General features: G+C 38.1%; 1 protein-coding gene across 6 annotated transcripts, besides 1 other annotated feature; it reads left to right on the forward strand.

Annotated features, from left to right (window-relative positions):
- GMNN (geminin DNA replication inhibitor) lies at positions 2,811–13,973 on the forward strand. Of its 6 annotated transcripts, none has more exons than XM_005249159.3 (7): positions 2,811–3,698; positions 5,096–5,171; positions 8,537–8,614; positions 9,351–9,495; positions 11,961–12,043; positions 12,318–12,428; positions 13,512–13,973. In XM_005249159.3, the coding sequence occupies exons 2-7, from the start codon at positions 5,121–5,123 to the stop codon at positions 13,671–13,673; spliced, it is 630 nt and encodes a 209-aa protein (XP_005249216.1). In that variant the 5' UTR covers positions 2,811–3,698; positions 5,096–5,120; the 3' UTR covers positions 13,674–13,973. The 6 variants fall into 6 exon arrangements, with proteins under 6 accessions (XP_005249216.1, NP_056979.1, NP_001238918.1 ...); NM_015895.5 differs by having other exon boundaries at positions 2,811–3,118; NM_001251989.2 differs by having other exon boundaries at positions 2,811–2,986.
- Positions 3,726–3,805: an enhancer, noted in NCBI's record as "active region_24158". NCBI's record gives its function as "activates an Ori minimal core promoter by ATAC-STARR-seq in GM12878 lymphoblastoid cells {active_cell/tissue: GM12878}" and the evidence as "EXISTENCE:reporter gene assay evidence [ECO:0000049][PMID:35858748]".

Below are 14,351 nucleotides of genomic sequence, written 5' to 3' on the forward strand. Positions count from 1 at the left end.
TGGAAATCATCCGATTTTTAAAATACAGACAATTTCCATTTTAAGACAATGTGTAGGCCACAATTGTGTATGTGAAACAAAACATATTTAATGCCCAGGGGCCACCTTCTAGACCATCTTCAATCCTTTAAATAATTCTGCACTAAAATAATCCCCTGAAGATCCTGAGTATATTATTCTTTTTTTTTTTCTTTTTGTTTGAGACGTAGTCTCACTCTGTCGCCCAGGCTGGAGTGCAGTGGCGCGATCTCCGCTCACTGCAAGCTCTGCCTCCTGGGTTCACGCCGTTCTCCTGCCTCAGCTTCCTGAGTAGCTGGGACTACAGGCACCTGCCACCATGCCCGGCTAACTTTTTTTTGTGTTTTTAGTAGAGATGGGGTTTCACCATGTTAGCCAGGATGGTCTCGATCTCCTGACCTCGTGATCCACCCGCCTCGGCCTCCCAAAGTGCTGGGATTACAGGGTGAGCCACTGCACCCGGCCAATCCTGAGTATATTATTCTTAACATCATCTGAGTCTCAAGTCCCAAAACCTTCATTAGTAATGTGTTTCATCATTTCACTTCTCTTAGCTGTGCTTATACTCATCAAAGAAATGGTTTGTCAAAAAATAAATTGGTGCAATGTAATTATTATTTATCCATCTGAATAAAAATAAAAATAAAAAAATTGGTGTAAATATTTGTGGTTGCTAAAGTTTTGTTTTGTTTTGTTTTGTTTTGTTTTTGAGATAGAGTCTCACTCTGTCACCTGGGCTAGATTGTGGTAGTGTGATCTTGGCTTACTGCAACCTCCACCACCTGGGTTCAAGCTATTCTCCTGCCTCTGCCTCCTGAGTAGCTGGGATTACAGACGCATGCCACCATGCCTGGATAATTTTTGTATTTTTAGTAGAGACAGGGTTTCACCATGTTGGCCAGGTTGGTCTTGAACTCCTGACCTCAGGGTGATCCGCCAGCCTCAGCCTCCCAAAGTGCTGGGATTACAGGCATGAGCCATGGTGCCTAGTGGTTGCTGAAATTTTTATGGCTAAACATTTTCCAGTATTTCTACCTCCTTATCCCATCATTTAATCCTTTTTAAATTAATATTTTAAAAATTTTATTATTGGCCAGGTGCAGTGGTTCACGCCTGTAATCCCAGCACTTTGGGAGGCCAAGGTGGGCAGATCACACGATCAGGAGTTCAAGACCAGCCTGGCCAACATAGTGAAACCCTGTCTCTACTAAAACTACAAAAAATTAGCTGGGTGTGGTGGCGGGCACCTGTAATCCCAGCTACTTGGGAGGCTGAGGCAGGAGAATCGCTTGAACCCGGGGGGGGCAGAGGTTGCAGTAAGCCGAGGTTGCACCATTGCACTCCAGCCCTGGTGACAGTGCAAGACTCCGTCTCAAAAAAAAAAATTATTATTGAAAATCCCAAACAGATATAAAAGTAGAGGGAGTGAATAAAAAATCTTCATGTACTCATCCATACTAGCCTCAGCAGTTATCAACACAAGGCCAATACTGTTTTATTCGCACCAGTGGTTCTCAACTGGGGATGATTTTGCCCTGCGGAAGGTTATCTGACAAGGTCTGCAGACATTTTTGGTCTTCACAATTGGGATGTACTCCTGGTAGCTAGAGGGTAGAGGCCAGGGATACTGCTAAACAGCATACAATGCCCAGGACAGCCCCCACCACGAACAATTTGCCCAGTCTAAAATGTCAATAGAGCCCATACTGAGAAAGCTTGATTTATACCTTTTCCCTTGCTTCTCTCAATAATTATTTCAAATAAAATATATGGTATAAAATTTCATCTGTAATTACCATTTATAGGTAGAAGCTATTACAATAAAACCCACAATATTGTCATTACAACTAATCTCTTTTTTTAACCCATTGCTCATCAGGTAACCTTAAACAACTCATATCTTACCATCCCAAAATATTCAGTCAGTGTTCAAATTTCCCTTGGGTATTTTTTTAAATACAGTGTTTAGTTCAGACGAGATCCATACATTGCATTTGGTAATATGTCCCTTATTTGTACTCGATAACGCCTTCCTTCTGCTTTTTATTTTTAAAATATTTTAAAATTAATTTTTTTTTGAGACAGGGTCTCCCTTTGTCTGTAGTCCCAGCTACTCGGGAGGCTGAGGCAGGAGAATCGCTTGAACCCGGGAGGCGGAGCTTGCAGTGAGCCGAGATCGCGCCACTGCACTCCAGCCTGGGTGACAGAGCGAGACTCCGTTTCAATTAAAAAAAAAAAAAAGAAGGAAAAGGCTAGACGTAATTATTACCAAGGTGTTTCTGCTCCTTCAAATTGCAACAGCAGTTGTAATTTCAGTGCCTAGAACAGTAGTAATTGGCACGTATAAGGCGCTCAATGAATAGCTGCAGGATTAACTGATAATCGGTTGTCTCCTGAACAATTCCTACCGCACCACACCATAGTCAAAACACAAAAAGCCAAAATATAAAAGCCCCTAATACAACTACGAGTCCGTGGAGCCAGGGCTTTACACAAATATATGTCGTGTACTACATATTAATATATATGCACATACAATATTTTGTTCTTCTGGTGCTAACGACTAATGGAGGCAAATCTTTCTCCCTTTCGTAAAGGGCTAAAACTTTGCATTTTAAGGAAGTTCCAAGAGCAGGGTCGGAGGGGAGGGTCAAAGGGCACAGGCCTCCCAGCCCGCAGAAAACCCCCACGGTCCTCAAGTACTCGCTACCGTTGACCGCGCAGGCGCAGGAAGGGGCGGGGCCGAGGGAAGAGGCGATTCGCGGGATCCAGAGGCCCCGCCCCTCGTCTGCGTCAGTTGGTCACGTGGTTGTTCGGAGCGGGCGAGCGGAGTTAGCAGGGCTTTACTGCAGAGCGCGCCGGGCACTCCAGCGACCGTGGGGATCAGCGTAGGTGAGCTGTGGCCTTTTGCGAGGTGCTGCAGCCATAGCTACGTGCGTTCGCTACGAGGATTGAGCGTCTCCACCCAGTAAGTGGGCAAGAGGCGGCAGGAAGTGGGTACGCAGGGGCGCAAGGCGCACAGCCTCTAGACGACTCGCTTTCCCTCCGGCCAACCTCTGAAGCCGCGTCCTACTTTGACAGCTGCAGGGCCGCGGCCTGGGTAAGGGCGAAGGGGTTGTTGAACGGTCGCGGGAGCCGGGGCGGGGTTGGGAGGTGAGTCGAGGGACTGCCCCATTGGCTGGGTCGGTTTTGGCGCGCTCTCACTTCCGCGCTTCCTATTGGCTGGCTGGCGCAGTTCCCGAGGCGCGCGCCGCGGTTGGTAGGCTCGGACGCGCGGGGCCACACTGCCCGCCCCCTAGCCTGGCGCTGGGCCTCCGGGACAAGTTGGCTGGGTCCGGGCTTGGGGACTGCAACGCGGGTAAGGGACTCAGCCTGGGCTTGCCAGCTGTGGGGATGAGGCGAAGCATCCATCCTCTTGGCAGTTAAGTGGCTGGTCCTGATCTGAGGGATCTGCAAATTTGGCTCATGGAAAGAGGTGGCTGAATTCTGCGTCTCCCATTAAACGGATACTGGCGTTGTTGATACGGGTTTCGCATGGACCCTGTCCTGTGCCAGGGTTTTTAATCTAGCTATTAAAGGAACTGGAGAATAACAAGTAAGGGTTGCAAGGTCGCTGACAGGCGTGGGAAACTTGTGAAGGATTAGAATGCTAAGTGGCTTTCAGCTTTTTTCACACTAAGGTACGTTTTACGTCGCAACCTAGGACACAGCTATCTAACCAAATGAGACGTGATGGAAGCAATGTTTCTCGTCTCTTCAATTCCATTCTGTTCAGTTGCATTTTTCTAAGCAGTGTTGCTCATGACTCACTAATTTCGAGATCACGGCCCGCGACCCGCAGTTTGAAGAACATTGCGTAGGGTCTGTTTACTGGGGCCCGAACACCATTTTCTTAACATGAAATAGAGTAGAAAATAGCAGGATGCCCGCACAAATTAGATTGTTTTGTTTTCTAAGCTTTTTTTTTTTTTGAGACGGAGTCTCGCTCTGTTGCCCAGGCTGGAGTGCAGTGGCAGGATCTCGGCTCACTGCCACCTCCACCTGTCGGGTTCAAGCGATACTCCTGCCTCAGCCTCCCGAGTAGCTGGGACTACAGACGAGCACCACCACGTCCGGCTAATTTTTGTATTTTTGGTAGAGATGGAGTTTCACCATATTGGCCAGGCTGGTTTCGAACTTCTGACCTCAGGTGATCCGCTTGCCTCGACCTTCCAGCACTTTGGTGATCATGCAGGTGATCCGCCTGCCTCGACCTCCCAAAGTGCTGGGATTACAGATGTGAGCCACCACGCCCGGCCTTTCCTAAGCTTTTTTGTTTGCACATGTGTGTGCACGCGCCAGGACACAAGGTAAAATGTATTAATGTTAGAAGCCACTGCACTGAGTAAAGGCATGGCCACAAAAATTAGGGACATCTATCGACGAGGCACAGGCGCAGACACGGCAGGGGCCAATGGGTAGTGGGCAGTGGGCAGTGGGCAGTGGAGCAGCAGTTCAGATGCTGAGTTTGGCCCAGTGGTCTAGTCAACCGCATTACATAGATCCCTTTCTACCTTTTCCCTCTTTCTTGCTTGTTAGTCCTTCAGTTCATGTTACTGGTTAAACATTTCCTACAAATGTAAATGCATGATCTCATTTGACCAGATATTAAGTCTGTGTTAAGTTATTGTCAGAGCCCAGTTTATTATACCTTAAATCTGTCTTTGAATCAGGAAAGTTAAGATGCTGCTCTTTAGGATGGACCTGGGCATACCCTAGTATCTGTTTATTTTGCTTTTTCTGGTGACTATTTAATCCAGGACAATATGTTTAGAAATTTTAAACCAGTTTTAGAAATTGGTTTAAAATACATTAATTTCATTTTTTCAGCTATAATTATTATGTGTGTATATATGTAAAATATAGATATCAAGAGTCATTAACTTTAGTCACCTTAGTCATTGACAGGGCTGAGTTTGGATTAAGAGAGAAAAAATAATAGTTCTACTGTACAATAGTATAATTTTTATGATTGTAAGTATTTTAAACCTAGACTCCACCTTCGGGGGTGCAAACCATATTGTTTTTTAATTACTAGTCTTCTGTGCTTCACCATCTACATAATGAATCCCAGTATGAAGCAGAAACAAGAAGAAATCAAAGAGAATATAAAGGTATGTGATTGAATAACTTTAATTTTTTTTTGTAGAAAGCATGGGGCTAAAAGTATTTTGACATAATTTATCCAAATTTAGCCTGGCTATAATTTCTGTAAGCCTTGAGTTAGTCAGAGGATGAGTAACAATAGAGAACATTTTTAAAAAACTAATTACGGTTGAATATTAAGTCTGACCCAAGAATATGGGTTGTCTCTCTTATTTTGGTCTTTCAACAGTATTTTGTAGTTTTCAGAGCATGAATTTTACACTATTTATGTTAAATTTTTTCCTAAGTATTCTTTTTGAGGTTACTGTGAATGGAATTGTTTCCTTAATTTCATTCTCATTTGGTCATTGCTACTGTATAGGAAAATAATTGACTTTTGTGTCTTGATTTTGTGTCCTGAAACCTTGCTGAACTTAATAGTTCTAATTGTTTTTTAGTAGATTCTTCAGGATTTTCTTTTCTTTTTGTATTTTCTCTGTGAAGATTCCAGAAGTATCTTTAGGATTTTCTATGTATGAGATTATTACTGCTTTGTTTCTACTCTTATATTTCATGAAATGTTATTAAAATCCATTGTGTATATCTTCAGAATTAAGAGTCTTTGACCACAGACATGTTTTGCATTATATTACACATTTTTCTAGAGTATACCATATTCATTACCATCTAACCTATTTGATTTGTGATACTTTTTCAATCCCTATATGATACTTTCACTGGAAATCTTATTCCAAGTATTTACTCTTATGACAGCAGGACAGAGTTTGTTTAGTTTTGAGTTTATACTTCTGACTAGATTCATATTTATGGTTCTAAGTTAATTTACAATTTAGCTAGGTCCTTCCACACAACTTAAATTATATGAATACCTTGGGAATTGGATCACATCTTCAGGTAAACTATCAATTTGCGGTTTTAAATAAATAAAGAGCCAGGTGCCCATGGTGGCTCATGCCTGTGATCCCAGCTACTTGGGAGGCTGAAGTAGGAGGATTGATTGAGCTCTGGACTTTGAGAACAGCCTGGGCAACAAAGGGAGACCCTGTTTCTAAAAAACCATAATTAGCTGGGTGTGGTGGCACCCACTGGTAATCCCAGCTACTGGGAGGCTGAGGTGTGGGAGGAATTGCTTGAGCCTAGGAGTTTGGGCTTTGGTGAATTATGATTGCTTCACTGCACTCCAGCCTGGGTGACAGAGTAAGACCCTGTACCTAAAAAAATTTTTTTTATATTAAGTAAATTAAATTGAGTACCTAAAAGCCATTGATAAGTATAAGCAAGTACCTTTTGATGGGTTTTTTGTTTGCCTTGCTTTTCTTAGGATTCTTACAATATTTTTCTTGAATAAGAATGTCAATTGACATTATATTCGCATTGACAATTTGTGAATTTGATTCCATTAGCTTCCATTTAGGATGATGGCATCTTCCCACTGTGCTTTGTGTGTGATTATTTAAAATTTTTGTTATGAAATTTTTGAAATATTTAAAAGTATTTTAATAATTTACTTCCCCAGCTTCAGCAATTACCGCTATATGGCCAATCTGGTTTCATCTATGTCCTTATTTACTCCACTTTTCCTTCAGTGGATTAATTTGAAGCAAATCACAGCCAAATAATTTATATATTTCCAGCAGATTACATTTTAAAGAAAGTCTTGTGTTTACTAGCTACAGTGAAACTATCTTGAATATAAAGGATACTAGGTTCTGTTTGGTTTTGGTTCTACCTCCAAAACTGAGACCTTGGGTGGGTTAGTTAGCATTTCAGCCTTAGTTTACTCATCTGTAAATTGGGAGAACTGGACTAGAACTAGATCCTTGTGAGTTGCATGCAAAATTCTGTGTGAATGTGCTTTTATGTGAATTTTTTTGGGGAGAGGATTCACAGAGTATTAAATAGTTTTCCAAAAAGGTTAAGACCCATTAATATACAAGAAACTTTCTGGCTTTAAGAGTCTATTATTCCAATGCATACTCTATATACAGAAAATAATAATAGTAATGTTACATTGTTTTAGGCAAAAGTCTATATAGCTTATATAAATAAAAGTTAAATCTTGGAAATGGTCTTTTTTTTTGGTGACAGTTACTTAGCTGGCTTCTTTGACCATTATTAACAGAAAGCATTTAAATAACACCTCTTGTTAGTAAGGTTCCAACGTTACATTTTCTTTTATTTGTCTGGAGACTGTTGACTAATCTATAATCTAAATTATATCTGAAATGTTGATGTAATATTTGTCCTCACAGTAGCTGGCATTTGTCCTTCAGTTAAATGGTGAGATAATAATCAGCAGTAGAAACTTTACCGTGGGAAAGGTGAACTCTTATCATGTGAAGTACAGTGTGGAATCAGTAACTTTCTCACGCTGGTATGGTATCATGTTCTTGCTAACCTTGTTTGAGTATTCACCATTGTTTGCTATCCCATGGTGGCAGTATAACTAATGATATTTTGCAAAAATAGGAGAGAACTTTCAGATCATGAAATATACAGGAAGTTGTTTACATATTACAAGGAAGGCAATATTTTCACCAAAACAATAGCTTGGGCATTTTAGAGTATTTTAGTATGCCTCAGGCACTGACATTTTAGCCACCTTCTAATGAATGGGCTTGAAGCAGAACTGCTTCTACTATCAGGTAATGGTTGAGGGGGGATGTCTATTACACATGTACTTTGTTTTGTGTAAAGTATGTTCTGGAAAGTTACATTCTTTTGGTGAGTACATGTAAGTATTTGAGGGATATTCATGATTTAAGGAGGCCTGAAATGAATCTTTTTGATTAGGGAAAGAAATATTTTGCAGTGTAAATGATTAACCATTTCTTCCAGTTTACCTGTTTGGTGAGTTCATACCATAAATGTTACGATGTTTGGTTTTATAAAAGAGTACCTGTAAGTTTTTAGTTTCTGTGTGGAAGATTTTTTCAGAGAGAATACAGATAGCCTTCTTGTATTAGAATTTTGTCATATGTGGTTTGAAACTGTTCATTGGAGCTGAGGAATTTTGTTACGTTTGTTTTAACTAGATATGATTAACAAAATGACCATAGCAAGAGCATGCATTGAAATGAGAGAAGTTACGTGTGTTTGTGTCTAGTTTGGGTAATATGATTCATTCTTAAGAATTCTTCAAACTTTATTATAATTTTTGGAAATAACAAGTTTGTCAGTTGATTAAACCAGTGTCTTGTTCATAGGCGACCTTACGCAATTATATAGCAGACCAAATGTTTGTGTTGTTAGTGTTCCTTTTCCACCCCTAAATTATAGAAGGACTAAGAGTAACACTCCATACAGAAACTCAGTAACTAAATAACCATATTGCAACTCAGTAACAAGATAATGAATTATGCTGACTTTTTAGAATAGTTCTGTCCCAAGAAGAACTCTGAAGATGATTCAGCCTTCTGCATCTGGATCTCTTGTTGGAAGAGAAAATGAGGTATGCACTATATGGCTAAAATGGGGTACTGGTGATACAGTGTCTACATCGAAAACATTTCTACTATTTTCTTGGTCAGAAACACGTAAATTGTTGAAATTTGGAAATAATTTGGGAATCACAATTATATATTTCCCAAAGAAGTGATTTTGGTTTTAATTGTTCAATTTAAGAAGTTCGTCGGGTGCAGTGGCTCACGCCTGTTATCCCAGCACTTAGGGAGGCCGAGGTGGGTGGATCGCCTGAGGTCAGGAGCTTGAGACAAGCCTGGCCAACGTGGTGAAACCCCATCTCTACTAAAAGTACAAAAAAATTAGCCGGGCGTGGTGGCACACACCTATAATCTCAGCTGCTTGGGAGGCTTGAGGCAGGAGAATCACTTAAACCTGGGAGGTGGAGGTTGCAGTGAGCCGAGGTCACACCACTGCACTCCAGCTTGGGTGACAGAGCGAGACTCTAAAATAAAAATAAAAATAAAAAATTTTTTAAAAAATAAATAAATAATTTCAGCTAAGCTCTTGACCCCAGTCTAATCCAAAATAATTGTTGCAAATAAAATTCCTAAAATGTTACTATATGTTTTGGTAGAATTTTTAATTGTATAACTTTTTTAAAGATCCAGAGATGTGAAAAAGTTAGATATGCGTACTCTTTTTTTAATACATAAATGAAAAACCACCTAATTTCTTGTTAATTAAATCAAAGTAAATACAGTTGATAAGTGTTTTCATTATAGCTGTCCGCAGGCTTGTCCAAAAGGAAACATCGGAATGACCACTTAACATCTACAACTTCCAGCCCTGGGGTTATTGTCCCAGAATCTAGTGAAAATAAAAATCTTGGAGGAGTCACCCAGGAGTCATTTGATCTTATGATTAAAGGTATGAAAAAATAGATAACTTTTGTCTTAATTTTAAATTATGATATAAGGAAAAATTTGTTAATACTATTATGAATTCTGCCAATTACTGTAATCTGGGGATAGTATAACAGCACTATAAATGTTTTTGTATGTGACCATTTGTTTGACAAGATCCATGTGTGGATGAAATGTTAGGAAAAGGAGGCCCAGTGCAGTGGCTCACACCTGTAATCCCAGTAGCTTAGGAGGTTGAAGCAGGAGGATGGCTTGAGTCTAGAAGTTTGAGACTAGCCTGGACAACACAGTGAGGCTCTCTCTGTATGAAAAAATTAGCTGAGCATGGTGGCTTGTGCCTGTATTCCCAGCTACTCAGGAGGCTGAGTCAGGAGGATCACTTGAGCCTAGGAGTTTGTGGCCGCAATAAGCTATGTATGATAGCACCACTGCACTCCAGCCTGGGATACAGGGCAAGACCCGGTCTCTGAAGGAAAAAAAAAGGGTAGGGGGAAAGGATAGTTATTAATATGACAGCTCTGATAATTGGATTGCCTTGTAGGGGTTTACAAGACTTGGAAATAGGCTTTTTAGAAGAAAAATGTTTAGATAATGAGTTCGAGGTATGAAAGGAATTTGAATATTCCAGGAGAGTATGGCATAAGGAAACCAATAAAAATATGGATGAAGAGTAAAGATGAATGAGAAGAATTATGCCTATAATAAGTACTAGTTTTTAATAGAATGGTAGTATACATCAGAAGAAGAAGCAACTGATGTTTTGTAAGCATTATGGAAGATTATTATTTCTGTATGAATTATGGGTCATTGAATGTTAAGTACTGATGATAAAATTGAGGCCTAGAGAAGTTAATTGACTTGCTGAAGGTCACAGTAACATTTGGACTCATTTTGAATTGCCTTGAAGACAGGAAGAAGAGAAATAGATGGTAGGATTTTTATTAGGCAAAATTAGGAAAGGTTGACTGGATAGAAATAAAGCAGCTCTTTAAAAATATTGTAGATTGAAGAGCAGGATTTGTGACACTCATATCTGATTAGGTTAAAAATTAAATCAAGGATTAGTTAAAATAAACTGCTAAAGTTAAATATCAAGACAAATAACTATATATCATGTTGGTAATATAACCACAGGTGGAACACATTATCCTTGTAACCCTCTGCGATACATGGTAAAAATTAAAATAACTGCGAAGAAATCCCAAACTTTATTACATTTGTTGTTTGAACTTTATTATATTTGTTGACAGTGGTATTAGTGTAATTTTGAAAAAAAAAAAAAAGTTGTGTATATTTTAGGACTGAGCAAATGAATAACATGTTGAAGTATTACATTTCCTAGCACTGCCCCTAAACAGGTAGAAACAAACTACACCTCTGTAGAAAGGAGCACACCGTGTATCCAGTTCTTGGTTTATAAACACTATTCTTCACTAAAGTTCCATGGAGAAATTGCTGATTCCAGGTCAGGGGCAGGGAAACTTTGGGTGATCATGGATTATCTTTTGACAGAAAATAAGGAAGTACTCAAAAACGGGTGGACATGTTGAAAGAACACATGTCATCTTGGAAGGATTCTCACAGACTACAGTTGGGAAAATTTGAGCATCAAAATGAATAACGTCAAGAATGGATTATAATACATTGAATAAAAAAGGATATATGAGTCTATACTGATAAATTTTCTTTTAAATTGGGGTAGGAAAAGTTTTTATTTACAGAATAATGCTAACTACTACTTGTAGAAGGAATTACATAAGTGAAAAAAAATTGGTTTTCCATCCACCGTAGAAGTAATAGATATAAGCCGGAAACATCAATCATCAATGGAATTAAACTTAGGTAAAAAGTTGTTGGAGGACAGGGTATTGACACAGTCTCAAATATTTTGCTCTACAGATCATTAGTTAATTACTAAGGGAAAAAGTTATCTTTACAAGGCAGAAATCTGATAGATAGCATCTTAATCAAATGATCAAATTTAACATCTCCAGTATCATGACAAATTGGCGTGTGCTTCTTGATGATATACTGAGGATACATACTTATATAGTATTCTTATACTATACTTATATAGTATTCCTGCCAAAAATGTTTAGTTTGAATCTAATCATGGAGACAGAAATAAAAAATTAAGGACAGTGTACAAAATAATTGATCTGGACTTTGTAAAAATGTCAGTGTTACATAAAAAGACACGACCTCACAAAACAAATGTATTGCAAAAATCTTTAATAATCTAGGTGGAAGATATATACGTATTGTACTTTTGTTGTAATTCTGAAGGATTGAAATCTTGGAAATGTTGGGGAAAATAGAATAATATTGATTTTATTTTTTAACTTTAATCTTTTAAAAATGAGTATTACTAAACAATATGGGGGTACTAAGATTGGAAATTTTTTTGAAACAAATTACTGGGTTTTGACAGTAATGATTTTTAAAGTTATATTTAAAATATTATTTTAGAAAATCCATCCTCTCAGTATTGGAAGGAAGTGGCAGAAAAACGGAGAAAGGCGCTGTATGAAGCACTTAAGGAAAATGAGAAAGTATGTATTGAGTATAATTTGTACCATTTTTAAAAATTCCAGGATTGTTTTGCTGCTTAGCATATTTTATTAGAGCAATATGGGCTAGCTTTAGTATTGGCTTAAGAAAAGTTTAAGTAAAAAGGCAGCTCTTGACAATTATACAAAATGAATCCCGTTGTGTTGAGAGTCAATTCTATGCTGCATGTCCTCCATGTTATATACTTGGAGGTATGTAATTTGATTTATAGCATAGCAAATCTATGGAATACTGAACTTTATTTATGTAATACAGCTTCATAAAGAAATTGAACAAAAGGACAATGAAATTGCCCGCCTGAAAAAGGAGAATAAAGAACTGGCAGAAGTAGCAGAACATGTACAGTATATGGCAGAGCTAATAGAGGTAGGTAATTTAATAGTTATCTGGTTCAAATTTATGTATTTTTCTATAAAGTTGAGGTAGTGTAGTGTGATCACTTTGAAGTGTTAGGGCTCTGGAATCAGATTTCCTGGATTTAAGACTTAACTTCCTTCCTAACACCATTAAGTTTGCTGGGTAGAGTGGGTTTATCCGGTCAGGGCTTCATCTTCCTCATCCACAAAATGAGAGTAATGATGCCTACCTTATAGACTTGTTATGAGAATTAAATGAGTTACAATAGATGGACAATTGCAAGGAGTACTTGCACAGAGTGAAAGTTCAGTAACTTAATTATTGTTATGAAGCAAAAGACCATATTTTTTGGTAGAGTTATTAAAAGGAATTATCCCTGGAAAATATGTATAGCAAATTATTTCATAGTTGACACATTTTAGATAGTTTTAATTTTAATACCAGCTTGACATTACTGTCATTTATAAAATTGATAATTTGTACAATAAATGAGTTTTGTGGTTTTATCTGACTTTAAAACATTTTGTAAGTAGCTAATATGTTTGTAAGAATTAGCCTGGTGTTGCTTTATCAGACTTGACCTTAAAAAGGTTTTAAGATTTATTTATTCATGTTTGCAAAAAGTTTTTCTTGCTGATAGGAAGAAAGTTTTTCAAATCAAAACTTCATGTAACTGAATTGTGACCTTTTACATTTGAGATCCATGATAGAATTAATATTTGAAGTTTTCATTTGGAGATACTGTGGTAGCTGTCTTAACTGCCTTAAAAGAATTAGTCCACAGCTGATTGGAAATGTAGAACACCTACTTGTCCTTGCAGCTGATTGGGGAAGTACCTGTTTATACTCTGAAATAATTTCAGTGCTTTTTAAAAAAAAAAGACAAATTATTAAACACTTTGACTTTGCTGACTATGATCTAGCATGGTAGAGACTTTGATATAATACTGTTTATAAATGAATTTATTGAGGGGCAAGATGAAAAAAATCTCATAGCTATATCAGTATGCTATACGGGTCAGCTATATCAGTATGCTGATCAGCTTAGGTTTTAACATTTTTACAATAAATTATTGGTTTATTCTTTAAAAGAGACTGAATGGTGAACCTCTGGATAATTTTGAATCACTGGATAATCAGGAATTTGATTCTGAAGAAGAAACTGTTGAGGATTCTCTAGTGGAAGACTCAGAAATTGGCACGTGTGCTGAAGGAACTGTATCTTCCTCTACGGATGCAAAGCCATGTATATGAAATGCATTAATATTTGACTGTTGAGAATTTTACTGCCGAAGTTTACCTCCACTAGTTCTTTGTAGCAGAGTACATAACTACATAATGCCAACTCTGGAATCAAATTTCCTTGTTTGAATCCTGGGACCCTATTGCATTAAAGTACAAATACTATGTATTTTTAATCTATGATGGTTTATGTGAATAGGATTTTCTCAGTTGTCAGCCATGACTTATGTTTATTACTAAATAAACTTCAAACTCCTGTTGAACATTGTGTATAACTTAGAATAATGAAATATAAGGAGTATGTGTAGAAAATTTGTCTGTTTCTATGCTTTTATGTTGTTCTCTTTCCATTCTTTTGCTAACTACCTTGGAGGAGACAAGGAGAAAACGAACTTAAAGTATTTAGACTGAGATAGCTGAGGTTTTTAACTCCCAAACTTTGTTGTACCTCAAGCTCATTGTAGACACTATTGATATTAACAAGTTGTTTTTGGAATGGAGCATGAGAATCTATTTTCCAAAAGCTTTTCAAGTGAATCTGATTAGACAGTGAGAGGCCCAACTGGCTAGCAGGATCAGACTCTTCTTGGAAGCTTAAAATGATGGATGATGGTGATAATCCTCAAGAAACAAAGTGAGGAGTGGGTAGAAGTTTGACGGAAAAAATCAGGAATAGCTGAAAATTATGGA

This window comes from Homo sapiens, chromosome 6 (assembly GCF_000001405.40).
Source record: "Homo sapiens chromosome 6, GRCh38.p14 Primary Assembly".
Lineage (NCBI taxonomy): Eukaryota > Metazoa > Chordata > Mammalia > Primates > Hominidae > Homo > Homo sapiens.